The 16,938-nt window shown below is 45.0% G+C and overlaps 1 protein-coding gene and 1 long non-coding RNA gene across 4 annotated transcripts in view, besides 3 other annotated features; one reads left to right on the top strand and one right to left on the bottom strand.

Annotated features, from left to right (window-relative positions):
• Positions 1–14,153, bottom strand: part of CACHD1 (cache domain containing 1) — a 222,925-nt gene extending 208,772 nt beyond the window's left edge. For 2 of the 3 annotated variants that reach the window (NM_020925.4, XM_047426234.1), the window contains exon 1: positions 13,340–14,153. In NM_020925.4, coding sequence (NP_065976.3) covers positions 13,340–13,537 — 198 coding nt within the window. In that variant the 5' untranslated portion in view covers positions 13,538–14,153. Of the gene's footprint in view, positions 1–11,831; positions 12,107–13,339 lie in introns of those variants that run through there. The other variant, XM_047426235.1, reaches the window with a different exon arrangement.
• Positions 10,453–11,238: an enhancer, noted in NCBI's record as "OCT4-NANOG hESC enhancer chr1:64938727-64939512 (GRCh37/hg19 assembly coordinates)". NCBI's record gives its function as "activates a minimal SCP1, AML or CMV promoter by ChIP-STARR-seq in naive and primed H9 embryonic stem cells {active_cell/tissue: H9 hESC(naive and primed)}" and the evidence as "EXISTENCE:reporter gene assay evidence [ECO:0000049][PMID:30033119]".
• Positions 11,239–12,024: an enhancer, noted in NCBI's record as "OCT4-NANOG hESC enhancer chr1:64937941-64938726 (GRCh37/hg19 assembly coordinates)". NCBI's record gives its function as "activates a minimal SCP1, AML or CMV promoter by ChIP-STARR-seq in naive and primed H9 embryonic stem cells {active_cell/tissue: H9 hESC(naive and primed)}" and the evidence as "EXISTENCE:reporter gene assay evidence [ECO:0000049][PMID:30033119]".
• Positions 13,824–13,943: a silencer, noted in NCBI's record as "silent region_955". NCBI's record gives its function as "represses an Ori minimal core promoter by ATAC-STARR-seq in GM12878 lymphoblastoid cells {active_cell/tissue: GM12878}" and the evidence as "EXISTENCE:reporter gene assay evidence [ECO:0000049][PMID:35858748]".
• Positions 14,154–14,256: 103 nt separating the features above from the next.
• LOC107984966 (uncharacterized) lies at positions 14,257–16,009 on the top strand. The gene is made up of 2 exons (XR_001738100.2): positions 14,257–15,096; positions 15,912–16,009. It is a non-coding gene; the product is annotated as an uncharacterized LOC107984966 (long non-coding RNA).
• The last annotated feature ends 929 nt before the right edge of the window (positions 16,010–16,938 follow it).

Here is a 16,938-nt window from a genome sequence, read left to right as displayed (position 1 = left end):
AGTCCCCTCCCAACCTCTCCGTTGATTGGTTCCTCCTTCTACTAGGCCCCCAGCCCCTCCCCTGATTGGCTCCTCCTTTCCATCACTGCTTCAGATTCCCTTTTAGAGTTGTCGCTCCCGCTAACCCTTGTCCAATAATGATTTATGGGGTACTTCTAAGTGCCAAGCACCATTCTACAGGAATATAGCATTGAACAATACAGTGCTTACCTGTGAGAGGTTAGGGGGCATGACGAACACTAAAAGAAACAGGGTAGGAAACAATGAGGAAGGGCAAGGGACGGTGCTGTTTCAAAGAGGGTTGGCAAGGATACTTCTTGCTGTTCCCAAGCAAGAGGAGCAGCAAGTTCAAAGGTTCTGGGTCAGGAATGTGCTTGGAGTGCTGAAAGAACAGAGTTATATGCAAGGGGGGGGGGGAAGGTAAAAGATAAGGTCACAAAGGTGGCAGGGGCCAGATCACATACAGCTGTGAAGGCCACCAGTAATTCAGGATTTTACTGAGTCAGATGAGAACCTTTAGGGAGTTTTAAGCAGAGGTATGACATCTGACTTGCATTTCTAAAAGATCTCCTTGGCACTTTTTTTTTTTTTTTTTTTTTTGGTAGAGACAGGGTCTCACCATGTTGCCTACACTGGTCTTGAACTCCTGGCCTCAAGGGGTCCTGCCACCTCGGCCTCCCAAAGTGCTGGGATTACCAAAGTGAGCCACCACACCCAGCCCAGCCTGCCCTTGGTACTCTTTCTAAAGGCCCCATGTTTCCTTCAAAACATTACTCAAAATTTACAATGTATATTTATAAGATTATTTGTTTAATGTCTATTTCCCCTAGCAGGCTGCATATTTCATAAGAGTAGGAACCAAGTCTCTTTGTGACAACATAAACTCAAATCCAAGCATAATACCTGGCACATAGTCTGTGTTCAATAAAGATTTGTGAAATGAATTAACTAATGAAGTCTAACCTCTAGGATAAAGCAGCTTCAAGTATATAGTTTGCAAGTACACAATCATTTTTGTATGTTTTACATTCCTAAATGTAGCCCAACTTTCTCTAGGTGAATATATTAAACATTAGAACCAACTAATACTTAGAGTCTACTTAGAGTCCTAATGTGCTTGATACTGTAGCAGATACTTCTACTCACCTGAAACATTCTTAATCTTTAGTAGCAGATAAAGACCCTAGACATTTCCTGGTAATTCTAAAGTAATGAAATGGACACATTAAACACAGTAGTAAAAGCTAAATTTGTAACAGTAACTACTAAAAAGTTACAAAGTCTACCATTTAAGGGCTGCTGGGCAATGTCTGTGGTCTAGACATTTTTTGAGTCCTCATGATGTGACACAGACAGGGGTAACCATACCAGGACTACGCAGATGAGTAAGTCTGTGTTCTTTCCTGCAAGAGCTCATGCTCTAATAAGTAATCTCCAGGATGTTTTACTGCTTGTAACTCTTGCCTACATTTGTTATCTGAATATGTGCAAATAATGTATTTGCCTCTTTTATGGTCATCTGAAATTATACTATCTCAAGTTTAAAACACTCCTAACAAATGTGTTTGGTTCATAATTAGCACACAGGCTAACCCCCCTGAAGACTACAGAAGTGGCAAATTTCCCCTTTTCATAAATGGTTCAGTGAAGCCAATTCTGGATCAAATAGCCAAGACTGCAACAGAAAACAAACAAACAAACCCAATCTATGTTCTCCAGGTTTTCCCCCAAAACCACTCAGGGCAGCAACAACAGCAGCAACAACTCTGTGACTAACAGTCCCCTAGAAAGGGAGCAGAAAAAGCGGCAAAAAGCACTGGCTGTCTCCTGCAGTGGCCAAGGGCAACTCTTGTTCAGGCACCACCAAGCAAAGTTATGGAAACCAACCCATTTCAGCACATCCTGTCTTTGGGCTGTCATGAGAAATATAGGCTTTAGAGAGAGCCAATCAATTAAAGCGGATTGTGTTAGAACAAAGAAGGCCAGTATTCTGGCAGAGGCACACGGAGTAATCCAAGTGGGGAAAAAAAAAATCCCATGAAGTTTCATGTGAGTTAGCAAATGATAGAGGATGGACAAGAAACCCAACAGGTCTTTCTACACCTCTAGTCCCTTAGAAATGAATGCAATGATCACAGAAAAACTCTTAAAATATTTAAATACACAGACATATGCTACCAGTAATACAGACATGAAAATATCCTGAAACCATTTATAAATATTATACATTTATATCAGAGATGATATACTTCCAATTTTCTTCTTCAAATATCTTTTAATGGTAATATACAGCACAGTAATTGCCATGGGTTCACGGCTTCTCTGTAATATATTTTTTCCTATATAGAATCCTTACCTTATTTTCAAGTGACATGGAAATAAAACTACTGTAAGCTGGTTAAATTTTTATATATAGAGTCAAGCAGACTGATGAATCTATATTTCAGCATATTTATAGATCATTAATTTCCAGCAATTTGTTTTTTGAATTAAGATTTTATTTAAAAGAAAGCAAGAAAAGTTGGCCACCATATACTAGACTCAGTTTCTGTTTTTCCTTAACATAAGCCTTATCAGCTCTGCCACAGCTGAAGTGATTCCAAATTGCTTTATGACACACTTGGATTTTCTCCTGCTAATAATTCCTCCTTCCTGCCCATGACTGGCAGGCTTCTTCCACACTGCAGTAATGTGGGACAGCTAATTATCTACCAATCCACCTTGCTATTCCATACTTGGCGACTTTTATCTGCACAGGACAGCTGCACTCTCTGCGTTTGAAGTAAAATGTCAGTCTCTGCTAATGCAACAAGACTTACATCCCTAATGATGTGTCCACACTTTGAAGAAACAACTCAAAGCCTAATTAAAAATTCAGATTCATTTTCACTGGTTTGCCAATTTTCACCGTCCTTCCACCAGGGCCTTGAATATCTTTAAAAATACTCCATGCAAAAATAAAATAAAATGAAAATCCAAGGGGAAGCAAGAAAAAAAAATGCTGCCGTCTTGGGCTTTGACTGCATCTTTATAATAACTGTTATGGTTGGAAGAGAACCAAGACATTATCATGTACAAGATAAGAATTTACTCCCCTGGCTTCCACTCTACAATTACAATAAAGCATACTATATCCAGAGAAATATGGACCATAAGCTACTTTTTACATTCCCCACTCTGGTGTTTAGGTGTTGGAACTTTTCAAACTGTAATTAACTCTGAAATCATTTGACTGTGCAAATCTGAAGTAGAGAAAGCTACCTTTGAACTCAGAAAAAAAGAGGGCAAGGTAAAGAAACATTTAAATGACATTTAGTTTGTTCCATCATCAAATTAAATGAATGATTCCTCCAAAGTAGTAATCCTACTGCAATTTTCACCCAAAAAAAAAAAAAGGGAGAGAGAGAGAAAGAAACAACTTCATATCCCCTTAATGACTAGGGAGAGAGATGTAGGTCATAAAATCCAATTTCAAAATAGAACTTTACCTGAAAATTACAGGTGGAATTTTCTTCTGTGGCTTTTACATAAACAAACACAAAACAAAGTCATTCCTCCTCTAAAGTATTTTTAAATAACTTACCTTTTCAGTAAAAAAAAAAATAAAAAAATAAAAATTGTTTGGATGGTACTGGTTCGCAATGATAGTTATTGACCACTTACCTTTGCACTTAAAAAAAAAATCTAACAACATTCTAGTAAGTCTAAGAATTTTTTAACTTTCTTCACTGGCTCACTGACTTCTAGGTATTTAACAACTTAAAAATCTAGTCAGCTGTCAAATGAGACCATCAGCTTTAAGTTTACAGCCATTAAATCATTAAGCCAAACTTTCTTTTCAAAAGAGGAATGTATACTACTATGTCAAGTTTTCTTTTTCATTCTAAGAGAAAAATGCGGAAAAAAAAGGGGCCCCCACAGTATAATATCACGAAAAGGGTCAAAAAACAAGAGTCTAAAACCAAAACATGAGTTCTGAATCTGTCACTTACTACTGGTGTGCTCTCCAGAGAGCCACTTCCTCGCTGGGCCTCAGTTTCTGTAAAATGAACATTTGTAAAACAAGCAGGGCAGATTTGACTGTCTCTCTGGTCCATCCCTGTTCTCATAGCAGCCAGTGATCTGTAGATCTGAGAGGTCAGGGAGAAATGGCAGGCCTGATAAGCCTGGATTTGCACAACTCCACAGGAGGGACCACACTGGGCAGCCAGCCTGTCTTTGGAGCAGAAGCAGGGAGTCCACCTTGCAGGCTCCAACTGGACTTGGGGAGGCAGAATCCAGAAATGTAGCAGGCCTTGGCAACTGGTGACTGCTGAAGTGTCTGAGTCTGAAGTCACTTTGGCTGAGTTTTCTAGGTTCTAAGCTTTCTCCAGATTTTTGTTTCTTCTCCTCAGAGCACACCACCTCCAAATACAAGGAACTTGGGCACAAGCAGCAGCTAGTTCCCAACTCAAACACTGATAAGCTACTGCCAGCCATATTGAAATAGAGGGGAGAACCTATTTAAGAAGTAGGCAAGCAAAGGGAGAAAAACAGCATACTGGCCACATGCTTTGAGCCCCAATCCAGTCCTGCCCAAAGATCTACCCCAGACACTTCAACCGCATAGGGTGGTAGCTTCCTTTCTTGCCAGTGTGAGTTGAGTGTTCTGCTGCCCGCAGAACAAGTCTTTACTGACATGAAGGATCCAAGAAACAGCCCCCAGCTTGACCTCTGCCTATTTCTCCCACCTCTATTTATGCCCTTTCTTCCCACTAGTTCTCTAAACTCCAAAACCATAATGCCATCTTTCCACTCATCAAAGGTGCTATGCTTTTCCTCAAAAAGGAGCCTTCTGGGAGGTCCACTCTTTCACTAACCAACTCCTAATTCATTCCACTTTCTTAGGGAGGCCTGCCAGAATCCCTCTGTGCCCTTAAATAGGTTAACATCCCTGACACTTTCTCCAAGCATCCTGAACCTCCTCTCATAACATTCATTACATCAGAAATTAACTGATGGGTAGGTATCTCAAACCTAACATAGTGCCTGGCACCAAGTAAACATTCATCTGTGTTGAAGTCATTATGATGACAAGCTCATATCTCAAAGCAATCCATTCTAGAACTCTTCTATCAGAAAGTTCTCCTTTGTATCACAAAGAAATTGGCTTCCCCATAACCTGCACACAAGCACTGCATTTTCTTTTTGTAACCCGCTGAATAATTCTAACCCAGACACTGCAAATTGGTGGCCTTTGGCCCTATCCAGCCTGCAGACATGTTTGGTTTGGCCCACATAGTGTGTTTTTCTTTTTTTTTTTTTTTAAACTGAATTAGTTGCCAAAAATTTAAAGATATTTTATGGAAAAAACAGACACCCAGCTTCTCATAAAAAACAAAGTCATGTGACAACATTGGACCCACATGGCTACTGGGCAACAGAGTAACTGAGTGGTCCTGCCCCCCTTCACCCTTGGCACATGTCCTCCAGCTTGCAACATCCAGCACCACTCCCTGCTTACCTACACCTGGTCCACTTCATTCATTGTGTTGAACTGACCTCTAGAAACATGAATTCGATATAGCAACCCTGGGTGTACTCTAGATCCCATATTTTAGCGTTTATTTCTATATTGTCTTGAGCCATCCAAGTTGGTTTAGCCTCTCTGGATAGGACAGAGCTCTGGGGTCTTAGGGGGAGGCACTGGATGTCCTGTATCACTCTCAGCCTCCCTGCAATAAGGAATCCAGTGAATATTTGCTGACAGACTGATCAGAAGACATTATATATTAGTCCAGCTCTTCCTCTTCAATCTGCCTCTCTTCTCTCCCAGTTACAGCTATCTCGCTTAGTCCTTTTCTGACTCTTGTCTCTTCTGGAAGGGGGAGAGAACAGGGACAAGCAGTAGATGCAGTTCATATTGCAGTAGTCCAATGTGTGTGCCTAGACTATATGCCAGCCTTTAAGAAAAACAAGGACCCTCCCAGTCTTGTGGAGAAAGCCAGGCATGAAATCAAGGGCCAGACAGCACAATTAGGGACAGACCCAGAGGAGCTTCCCCAAAGAAGCTTGGCATTACAACTGGAAGGCTGGGGAATTTGCTGGGCAAAGGTATTAACTAATTTGTAAAAATCTAGGAGAGTCACCAATGGTTTTATTCAGGCACATCATTGTTAAAAAATGTAGCCTAAACAACCTCCAAAATATTTATATTTATTTGTGAATTGTAAATTTTATATACTAGTGTACCAATATATTATACATATTATAAAACATTACAAATATAGAAATTAAATAAGGATACAATAAACATGTCATAGATGAAATTATGTGATATTTGGAATTTGCTTCAAAATAATCTGGGGGGGCCGGGCGCGGTGGCTCACGCCTGTAATCCCAGCACTTTGGGAGGCCGAGGCGGGTGGATCACGAGGTCAGGAGATCGAGACCATCCTGGCTAACAAGGTGAAACCCCGTCTCTACTAAAAATACAAAAAATTAGCCGGGCGCGGTGGCAGGCGCCTGTAGTCCCAGCTACTCGGGAGGCTGAGGCAGGAGAATGGCATGAACCCGGGAAGCAGAGCTTGCAGTGAGCCGAAATTGTGCCACTGCAGTCCGCAGTCCGGCCTGGGCGACAGAGCGAGACTCCGTCTCAAAAAAAAAAATAAAATAAAATAATAATAATAATAATAATAATAATAATAATAATAATAATCTGGGGGGAAGAGCAAGTGGAGGCAGAGGTAGAGATGAAACCAGCCTGACCATCAATTAATAACTGTCTAAGCTGGGTGAGAGGTATGTGGATATTCATATGCTATTTTATTTACTTTTGTATATGTTTTTAAATCTTTGTAGTTTAAAACTAAAGAAATAACTATGACTAGCCAGGTCTAGCATTTTCTTCAGAAAGCCCCAAGCATGGCTTTGCACCACATCCAAAGGTCCGTGAACCATATCTTAAAAACCTGGGGGCAGAGGATTGACCATATTGAAATCTGCAGGTCTACAAATTAGATTTCAGTTTCATTCAGGCTTAGGAGCTACATGTTTACCACCTTCCCGGTTCTGTGCCCTGGCACTAAATGAACTGCTCTCATATTTACATTTCTGTTTATTGACTGCTCCTACCTTAGGCCCTGAGCTAGACACTTGGTTATCCTTTAAAATATATTTACTCCCATTAGCTACATGAAATACAAAGACACTAAAGTTCAGAGTGATTTAATAACATGACAGAAGTTACACAGTTAATAACTAACTGGCTGAGTCAAAATTCTTGTCCCTGTTGTCCCTTCATATTTTGACTTTCAATAAATTCTTACTCCAAGGTCCAAGCATATCTAAAATAAATCCCACTCCATCTAATACCAAAATTCCAGAGTTCTGCAAGGTTCCTGCCTGCTCATCCACTTAAGCTCAAGGAAGGAACTCCTCAAGCAGCAACCAGAAATAGCAGCAACATGTTACTAAGTGTAAAACCATCTCCTCTCCCTCCCCCAAGCCCTTCCAGACTCAAGTACTATTGGCAGGAAAAACATAATAAGCACAAGGAATAAGGCCAGCAAAGATAGGCATTAGTGAGAAGGAAGTCCAGGAAGTGCTAAGCACAACAGAGACAGTTTATCAGAAGTCATTCAACATGCTTTTTCTTGGGCTCATTCCTGACAAGTTCAACTCAGAGTCATCCGTCAATGGACAGTTTTCTTCTATTCTAAATATCCATTTTCAAAAGAAAGCAACACAGCAGTTTTTCCACTAAGGCTTATATGGTACACAAGGCGTAGAATCAAATCACATTATTTGCATATACAGGTGATTTTTCCTTCGAAAATATTCTATATTGCGTAATTACACATTCAAATCATTCTAAACCAGCCCTGTCCTGTTATGATGCATGTGATTTAGAGGAAATTACACATCTTACCAAACATGACTGCAAATCAGCTTGCAGTTATAATAGAGCCAGCAAGATATTTATGTCCAATAACCACAGAAGCTCTAGGATAATGGCCAAAGAAATGAGACATGGGAGCCATATGAAGGGGCACAGGAGTCAGAGTCCTGTTCAGGTGTTCAAGATACACGAGCTACCTTGTCCAGTGCCACCAAAGGAATCAGAAACATCTAATGAACTACTGATTTGGCTACCCTTCATGTGTGAAGCTGCTGCTGCTGCTGCTGCTGCTGCTGCTTCCTTCAGGACTGGCCTGTGTGTGTGGACATTTCACTGAAAAGGACAATGGAGAAGTAGCTAACTTCCTTGACTTCACCAGAGGGGCTTGGGCAAGGCTCCTCTATGCTCCCATAATATCCTGTTTCTCTCTCTACCACTGCACTAACCTACTGCAGTGTAATGCCTCTATGTCTCTCGCTAACCACCTGTATCATAATGCCTCTTTTTGTGTCTATTTCCATCATTAGTTGACAGATTAAGGGCATGGACTAGGCTTTAGTCACCTGTGATTGCCAGTTTAATCTAACCCCACTTTGGGAGGCCGAGGCGGGTGGATCACGAGGTCAGGAAATCGAGACCATCCTGGCTAACATGGTGAAACCCCGTCTCTACTAAAAATACAAAAAAAATTAGCCGGGTGTCGTGGCAGGCGTCTGTAGACCCAGCTACTCAGGAGGCTGAGGCAGGAGAATGGCGTGAACCCGGTAGGCAGAGGTTGCAGTGAGCAGAGATCACGCCACTGCACTCCAGCCTGGGTGACTGAGCAAGACTCCATCTCAAAATATAAAAAATAAATAAATAAAATCTAACCCAAGACCCTTCATAGAGCAGAAGCTCCCCAAAATTTTGTTGGATATATGCGAAAATGAATAATGCAGGACAGGCACAGTAGCTCACATCTGTAATTCCAGAACTTTGGGAAGCCAAGGTGGGAGGATCACTTGAGGCCAGGAGTTCAAGACCAGCCTGGCCAACAGAGTGAGACTCCATCCCTACAAAAAATTACAAAATTAGCAGGGTGTGATGGTATGTGTGTGTAGTCTCAGCTACTCAAGAGGACTGCTTGAGCCCAGGAGTTTGAGGTTACAGTGAACTATGATCACATCACTGCACTCCAGCCTAGGTGACAGAGCAAAGATCCTGTCTCTTAAGAAAAAAAAAAAAAAAAAAAGGAAGGAATTTAGTGCATTGTTGTTTTACTGCATACAAAGAAGCGTTGCTCTTTAATTCCAGCTGTAGTCAGTATTTACAACATTGCTTTATATCTTTGACACTTCTGCCCCAGCTGAGTCCTTCAGTTCCTGAACATGCCTCTGTTCTAGCTGCTGCTTTTTCTTCAATTGGAGTTGAAGCTCCAGTTCTTGCTTCTGGTATTTCTTCTGCCCTGACTGGAAGAAACCCTGCTCCTCCCTCCCTCCCAGGCCTCATCCAGCAGCTGTCTGACCAACCTGCTGGTCTGTCTGCCAAGTTCATAGTAAGTGTGCCCAGCCCAGCAGAGTTGGGCTAACTTTAAGGCAGGCACACTGGCCTTGTGCCAGGCCCTTGCTGTTAGGAAGCCTGTACTGTCCTATAATGTTAAATGGGCCTTATAAGTGCCTGGCGAAATGGCTCCCAGAGCCAGATATGCCTTCTAACAAGCAGGCATTGTTACTTAGCTGGTTTACCTGTGCAATCTTATCTCCTCCTCGAGAATGTAAACTCCTTAAGGAGTTGTGCTGGAATACGTCCTTGTAAAATCCCCTGAATACCCAGCATAGAGCTCCATGCTCAGTAAGCTTCCAATAATCATTTCTCCATTTGAGAACAACCACATCCATCAATATTTCTCAGCCCTGGCTTAACATTAACAGATGCCTTTACATGCACTATTTCCTTTAAGTCCACAGAGCAAATCTTGAGGAAGAATCACCATCCTCAATTTTACAGATAAAATCACCCAACTTGCAAATGGCAGAGCTGGAATCCAGGTCTCTACCTACCCAATGTGGGGCTCTTTCCACTCCACGATGCTGCTTGATAAAAACTTGTTGCATGAATAAATAGGCAAAAACCCGTCTCCCTGGACACAGCCACTTACTGCTCCCAGACCTCAATGCCACCATGGCTCCTCTGCACCAGACCCATGAGGAGATGATGATTAGGTTTTTGACTTTTATCCATGATGTATGATGTCTGCTGTCAGGGGAACAGTATTCAGTGACAGCTTTCCCAGAGTACTGGCAAAATTGGTTGGCACAACTTATTTAAAGATTTTTTAAAATATATTTTGTCCATTATTAAAAAGGAACAACAAAAATCATGAGTAGGCAGCCCCCACTGGAGAATTTTCCAAGAAAATCTTCAAGGTAGACGCTTTTCAAACTGTCTTCTCTATCAGCAAGTGCGAAAACTACGTCATGGGAAACTATAGTGCTAAAAGAAGCCTAGGTTTTTGTTTTTGTAAAATTACCCCCTTGCAACTCCTTATAAGCAGTAAGTGCTGCCACTTGAAATGCTGCAAAACAACAGGCCTGGTTTGAGGGCTACTTTATAATTTCTCAAACTTTAAAATCGTCTTTCGAGAATTTCAGCAGCAGAAGCAATATAAAAGTCTGAACATTGGCTTTTTACATATAAAGAGGCCTATAGAATGTTTCTCATAAAGTGAGATGGTGTCCTGAAAGGCCTGTACTATGCTCAAAATGCCAAGGTCAAATGAAAGGAGTCAATCCCTTAAGCAAGGGAAGACATTCTTTTCCAAAGAGACACAACTATCCCCCTCTCCACCCCCACCCTGACCATCTTCGTAGGAAGTCACACCTTAAAGCCTATGTGAGGCTTACCTCTGAAAAACAGATTAGCTCCACCTCTATAAAATCCATCATGCTGCAGGGAGGGCTATATAACCTACACTTTAGGTAACTAAACCCACATAATTTCAGACCCACTGAACAAATCCCAAAGGTTTACAGATGAGAATGTGGGGCTCAAAATCTTTGTTCTAAGGCCAAAAATCTAACCTGCATTCGACTTTTTTTTTTCCGACCAGTCTAACTAAATTAAAAAGAGACACTTTCTGCAATTTTCCCAGTTAGAAGCAAGTGGCAGATCAATGTACAGCTCAAGAAGCAGAATTTAAATACAGTATGTGTGTCTCCTTTCAAAAAAGGAGAGAAGCCACTTCACATTTTGCCAGACAAAACCCTGTCCACAGGAGGTCCGTTTCCACAATGAGGTTGCAAAGGTGTTAGAAAGAGGCCAGTTGGGAGGAGATAAAGGACCATTTGGGCACAAACCCCCCACCGATCAGAGCTTTTTTTCGAAGTGTCTTTTTCAACAGGGCAGCCTTTTAAAACTACATTTGCTTAGGATCCCTACCTGAATGACAATGTGTTGGGATCCAATTTCACCTTTTGTCAAGGACTGGGTGAGAAACAGTAAAATGGCTGTCAGCATCTTAGAAAAAGCAAGTCCTTAGCTTACAAGGAAAAGGCGTGGGGGGGCGGGATAGGGGGGAATCCTAAGATTTCTTGTCCAGCCCTAGGGATGGAGTGAAGGTGGCAAGTGCCTACAAATCCTACAAGCAGAGTCCACAACTCCAATATATTAAGTTTCCTTTATTAAAAGAGGTGCCTCAATGCAAAAATACAATTGTGCTCTGAATGGAAATATTCACCACTGTTTTTTTAATCCTAGTTTTCTATCTTTTCTAAAAGTCACTTCACTCCTAAGAACTCAGCAATAATCAGAAATCAGAAAATGCATATGGAAAAAATTGCAACTGAATCTGAACCTGAAAGATCGGCATAGTTGAATGATGCATCTTAAAAGCTTATCTATTATTATGCAAATCAAGAAAACCCAACTCCATTGCACTTCAGGGCTGGGTGTCTGCAAATAAATGCAAAATTACCTTTCAAAATCCATCCACTCCTCAGTCCTCATGTCACCCTTTAAAAAATTCCGGTGGTCTTTCCCCACAGTAGAGAAGGTCTGTGGAACTTTCCTCAAGAAAATTGTAACCTCTTGGGAGGAGATTGGTGTGGGGAAGTGGAAAGAAGAGGAAGGAAGAAGGAAAAAGAAAAGAAAGAGGAGGAGAAGAACGAGAAGGAGGAGGAGGAGGAAGAAGAAGGAAGAAAGAAGAGAAGGAGAAGACGAGGAGGACGACGCGACGAAGAAGAAAGAAGTAAGAAACCTAAATCCCAAAAGTGACTTAAACACCTCTCCCGGTGGGAGGTGGAAGGAGTGGTCACAGTAGGATGGAAATCAGAAACCTATTCCAAGAACGCATTCTTGGAAACTTCAATCTTTCGAAGACCACATTCATCCCCATGATTGTTAGAATGTGTAAGAGAATGGTGTTATTTTATCTAAGAATGTTATAGCAAAGGTTTCAAGCTGGGAATGTCATCTCAACCTCTCCTAATCTAGTGGGCCTTTATGGCCAAGTGGATTAAAATAACAGCGGGGCAGAATCTCCAGGTGGTTGGTGTTCAGCAATTTTTACTACTGTTGGTCGTGAGTAACATCATCAGGATTCCTTACTAGCTGCGGGCAGTTTTTCTGTCAGCCCTCCTTCCTCTCCCGAGGAGGACGGACATGATAAACAATCTGGAGAAATGGGAACCTTATTCACTTTGCTCCCTTTTTCTTCGACCCAAAAAGGCACACACGAAACAAAAATCATACAGCAGACAGCACGCAAACTACAGCAGGATATGCGGAAAGCAACAAAAAGAGTCCCCCAGCAGGATTAGAGTCGGGAGTCTACCCAGAATCTACCAGGCCAGCCCCTCCCCCCATGCTCCCGGGAGGGGAAAGGAGCGCGGAGCCCACTCGGAGGGCCGCTCTCCGCCGGGACCTAGGTGTCCCCGGGGCAGCTGCGTACTCTGCGGCGCCTTCCCTCCCGGCGCCCATTGGTGCGCCTCGGTAGGGAGGACGCGAGGACGCGAGGACGCGGTCAAGGGGGTGGGGTGGGGACTTCGGAAAATCGTCCGAGCCAGACGGGGCTGGCTGCTCTGGGATGGGGACACAAAGGGGGAGTTTGCAGGCGTGGCAGGGTGAAAACAAGCCTACATGGGAAATGTGTGCAAATTAGAGAAGACGTGCGAGGAAACTGGAGAATCCTTGACGAGATGAAGGCGCTGGTACTCAGAAGAGGGGGGCTGTGCAGGGTCAAGTGGGTTCCGTGCAGAGGGCAGGGGATTCTCCAGAGAAGGGCAGGGGTAGACGAATGCATGGAAGAAGAGTTGGTGTATTGTCAGGGGGTCTGTGCAGAGGACAGAGGGGTCCGACGGGAAGCCGGGCTCTATGTATGCAAGGAGCCGATGCACACAGTCCAGGGGACTTGTACCGGGAGTGGGATGGGAGTTTGAGCAAAGGAGAAAGGCGGGATGTCTGGCCAGCTCGGGGGCCACTTACCTGCATGGTGACGACCCCCAGCTCCTCGGCCGCCAGCCTCCGCATCTGGCTCGCCAGCACTTGCGCCTCGTCCAGGATGGAGAAGTCGGCTTCGGCCCCGGCGCCCAGGAGCCAGCACGCGACCAGGCAGAGCAGCCAGAGGGGCGGCCGCCGCGCCCGGGCCACGGCCGTCTCCTCTTCCTCCGGCTGGCGGGCCATGCTGCCTCCCCCCACTCCCCGCCGACGGGCTCCGGGCGCGGGGAAGCGGGCCGCGGGAGGTGCCCCCCGCAAAAGCGCGGCGCACCCCGCAAAAGTTTCTTCCTCTGTTGCAGGCTCTGCTCCGCGCCGCGGTGGCGAAGGCTCCCAAACTTAGGGGGCGCCCGGCTACAGCGCGGGAGCGCGGGCGGCCACCATCGCGGGGCTCCGCGGCGGTGGGGGTAGGAGGCGGCCGCCCGAGCGGTCCCCGGAGCCCGGCGCCCACACGGGCCCCGCGGCGCAGAGGGCGTCTCCGAGAGCAGGGGCGCCCGCAGGCCGGGGTGCGCGGGCCCCGGGGCTGACAGTCGGAATCGGAGTCGGAGTCGGAGCCCGAGCCGAGCCGCGCGGCTCTCGCTTCCTGCGAGTCCCAGCGCAGCGAGCAGGCGGCGGCGAGGACTGACGGCGGCCCCCGGGGAAGAGGAGCGGCGGCCGGGCTGCGAGACTGGGGCAGCCACCCGAGCGAGGAGGGAAAGGGGAGGCTTCACAAACCCACACAACTGAAAGAAAGAAAGCAAGCGGTGGGGAAAGGGAGGCGTCTGGTGCCACCACGCTGCGCTCCGGCTCTGTGCACTTCCCGGCTGGGCCGCCGCGGCGGCTGCGGTGATTTATGGAACCAGCAAGAGAGGCGGGGAAATTCCCCCGGTTGCCCCTCCTCTCTCTCCCTGGCTCCCGCCTCAGAACCTGCCCCCCGGGACGCCGGGGGCCGGGGGACCAGCCTCTCTCTCTGCTCGGGGACCGGCCCAGCCCGGGCAGGGGAGCCCACGGACCTTCCCGTGGCTGGAGACGGAGACCCCCGCCAGCGCTCCCCGCCTCCGTCCGCGCCAGGGAGCCCACCCGGCCCAGGTTCCAGCCATCGAAAAGTCCTTTAAGTTCTAGGACGCTGGCTGTCTGCCTGGCAGCGGTTGGGGAAGAAGGGGACTGCCATGTGTAGGTCCACTCCCTCTCCTTGATGTTATTCATCACAATGGCTAGCTAGCGTTCCACCCACAGATTTCTGTTGCAACCAGCCACCGTGTGCCCGGCACTGGGCTCGGGGGTGTGCACATTATCCTTTAATCTCCGCGACATGCCATAGGAGGTACGTATCTTTATCCCAATTTTTTAGGTAACAAAGACTGAGGCTTAGAGAGGTGGAATAAATTGCCAGAGGTCACCCAGGGGATAAGAAACAAATCCAGAGTTTAAGCACAAGTCTTACTCCAAGGCTATTGCTCCTAAATACGATACAGTTCTCTCTGTCTCTCTTTGGAAATGAACCATCTGATCCCATCAAAAGCAAGAAAAAAGAAAAAGAACGACTGAACCGGAGTCCACCGCGCACACACCTGTTCTCCCAAGCATGGAGAGGCAAGGTTAACCTTCCTGTTTGTCCCTGACTACTGGCTCAGGCTCGCTGAGAAATCACCTGTTGGAAGCACCTGGAACAAGTCAACCTGCTGTGTGTGGAGAACAGCCACTCTCCCTTCCAAGCCCTGTGTGGTTGCTGCTTGCAGGTTCCTGGAGAACAGAGCCAACACTGGAAGGTTAAAGGACTAGTCCAGGGTTACCTAGCAGAGGTGGTAGCAGGATTAGAACCTGGATTTAGGACTCTTTTCATTTTACAGCAAAACCTTCTGTTTTACATCTTTGACTATATTGTATTAAAAAGTCATCTTCTCTTGTAAGCTCTCCCTGGCCCATTTTTACCTCATTGAGATCACTTCTCCATTCTCAACTCCCCTGCTAATTTTTGTATTTTTAGTAGAGACAGGGTTTCGCCATGTTGGCCAGGCTGGTTTCAAACTCCTGACCTCAGGTGATCCACCTGCCTCGGCCTCCCAAAGTGCTGAGATTACAGGCATGAGCCACTGCGCCTAGCCTGTGATGTTTGTTTTACATACTAAGGCAAGCATGTTGAGTGTGGGGACCAATCCCTTCACCTCCACATCATCCACACAAGCACATAGTAGTACTGGAAAAATGATTCTTGAGTTAATAATGAGGTAAAAACCTACCTGTATGTCTTCTATTCCTGGAGTTGAGCTGACATTTGTTAGAAAGATGATCCTTTAACTTCCGTTTTTTAAATTGTTGTACCTTTGACATGACACTCCGCAAGAGAAAGCATATTAGTCCATGTGATTAGTGGAAGAGTAAAGAACAAAAATAATAATGACATATAGCATTATTTTTTTATTTGATTCTTCAAGGTTACCATCACCAAGGTGTCACACATCTCTAAACTCCTTCTGAAATGCCTTCACAATAGGCATTTATTGCCCATCTTTTATATGTTGGTATTTCTTGAGGTCCTATTTCTTGGGATGCTAATCCAATGTCACCTTTTTTTCACTCTAAGGTTCTTCTTTTTGAGGACTCTCGACCACATCTATGCCTTCAATTATTACCAAACACGAGTTTATCATACTTCTAAATAAAGCTCAACCTGGATCTCCATTTTTTCTAGCAAGTTCCTGACTTCTCTAGTAGATATACCTGAATGAAAACTCATTACTGCTTTCCCCCATGTTCCACCTAAATCCATGTCTGGCTGCAAATCTAGGTGGATGTCACCCACTCTGCAAGCTAGGTACGCACTCTCCATCCACCCCAGCTCCCAACATATCTCCCGTGTCCATCCCCCGCTGTCCATCTGCATCCTATGGCCTGACTTCAGTTCCTCATTGCAGCTTGCCTGTATTATGACCAGTCTCCTCATGGGTCTCTGTGCAGTCTCTCTGTTCCCCCTCATTCTGTTCTTCACATGGAAGTCAAAATCAACTTTCTAAAAGTCAAATCTCAACTTGTCATTCACTAATCTAAACATTTCTGATGCCCCATCACAGATAAGTAAACTTAACAAACAAGGCCCTTTGTGCTCTGACCCTGTTTGCTCTTCTGGCCTTTTTGTAGCCACTGTGCCCCTCAGTTGCCTCACCACTCCCAGAAAACACCTATATGGCAGCCTCAAAATTCTTCCCCTTCTCTCCACTTGCTAGGTCCCCTATTCAGCTGAGGTGTCATTTCTGTGACACCTACCCCCACAGAGTTTACGGCTCCTCTTTGGTGCTCCAAAGCTCTTGGTTCTTCTCTCAGCACTTAATGTCCCCTCAGCGCTTAACAAGCAACATTGTGATTTTCCACTTGAAAGCTTTGATTTCTCCACCTTGTTTCTCAAAGTGTGATCCACCAAACACACTAGCCTCAGGACACTTAATAAACTGCAAATCCTGTGCTCTATTCCAGGTCTACTAAAGCAGAATCTTTGGAGGTGGGGGGTGGGTCCTGGAATATGCATTTTATAGACCCCCCTTCCCCGCCCTGACATTAGTCTTATGAACTAATGCTAGACTGCAAGCAAGCTTGCCAGGATGGTAACTCATGCA

The sequence above is a fragment of the Homo sapiens genome, chromosome 1, assembly GCF_000001405.40.
Source record: "Homo sapiens chromosome 1, GRCh38.p14 Primary Assembly".
Taxonomy (NCBI): domain Eukaryota; kingdom Metazoa; phylum Chordata; class Mammalia; order Primates; family Hominidae; genus Homo; species Homo sapiens.
The sequence above is the reverse complement of the archived record's forward strand: the minus strand, read 5'-3'. Positions and strand labels throughout refer to the sequence as shown.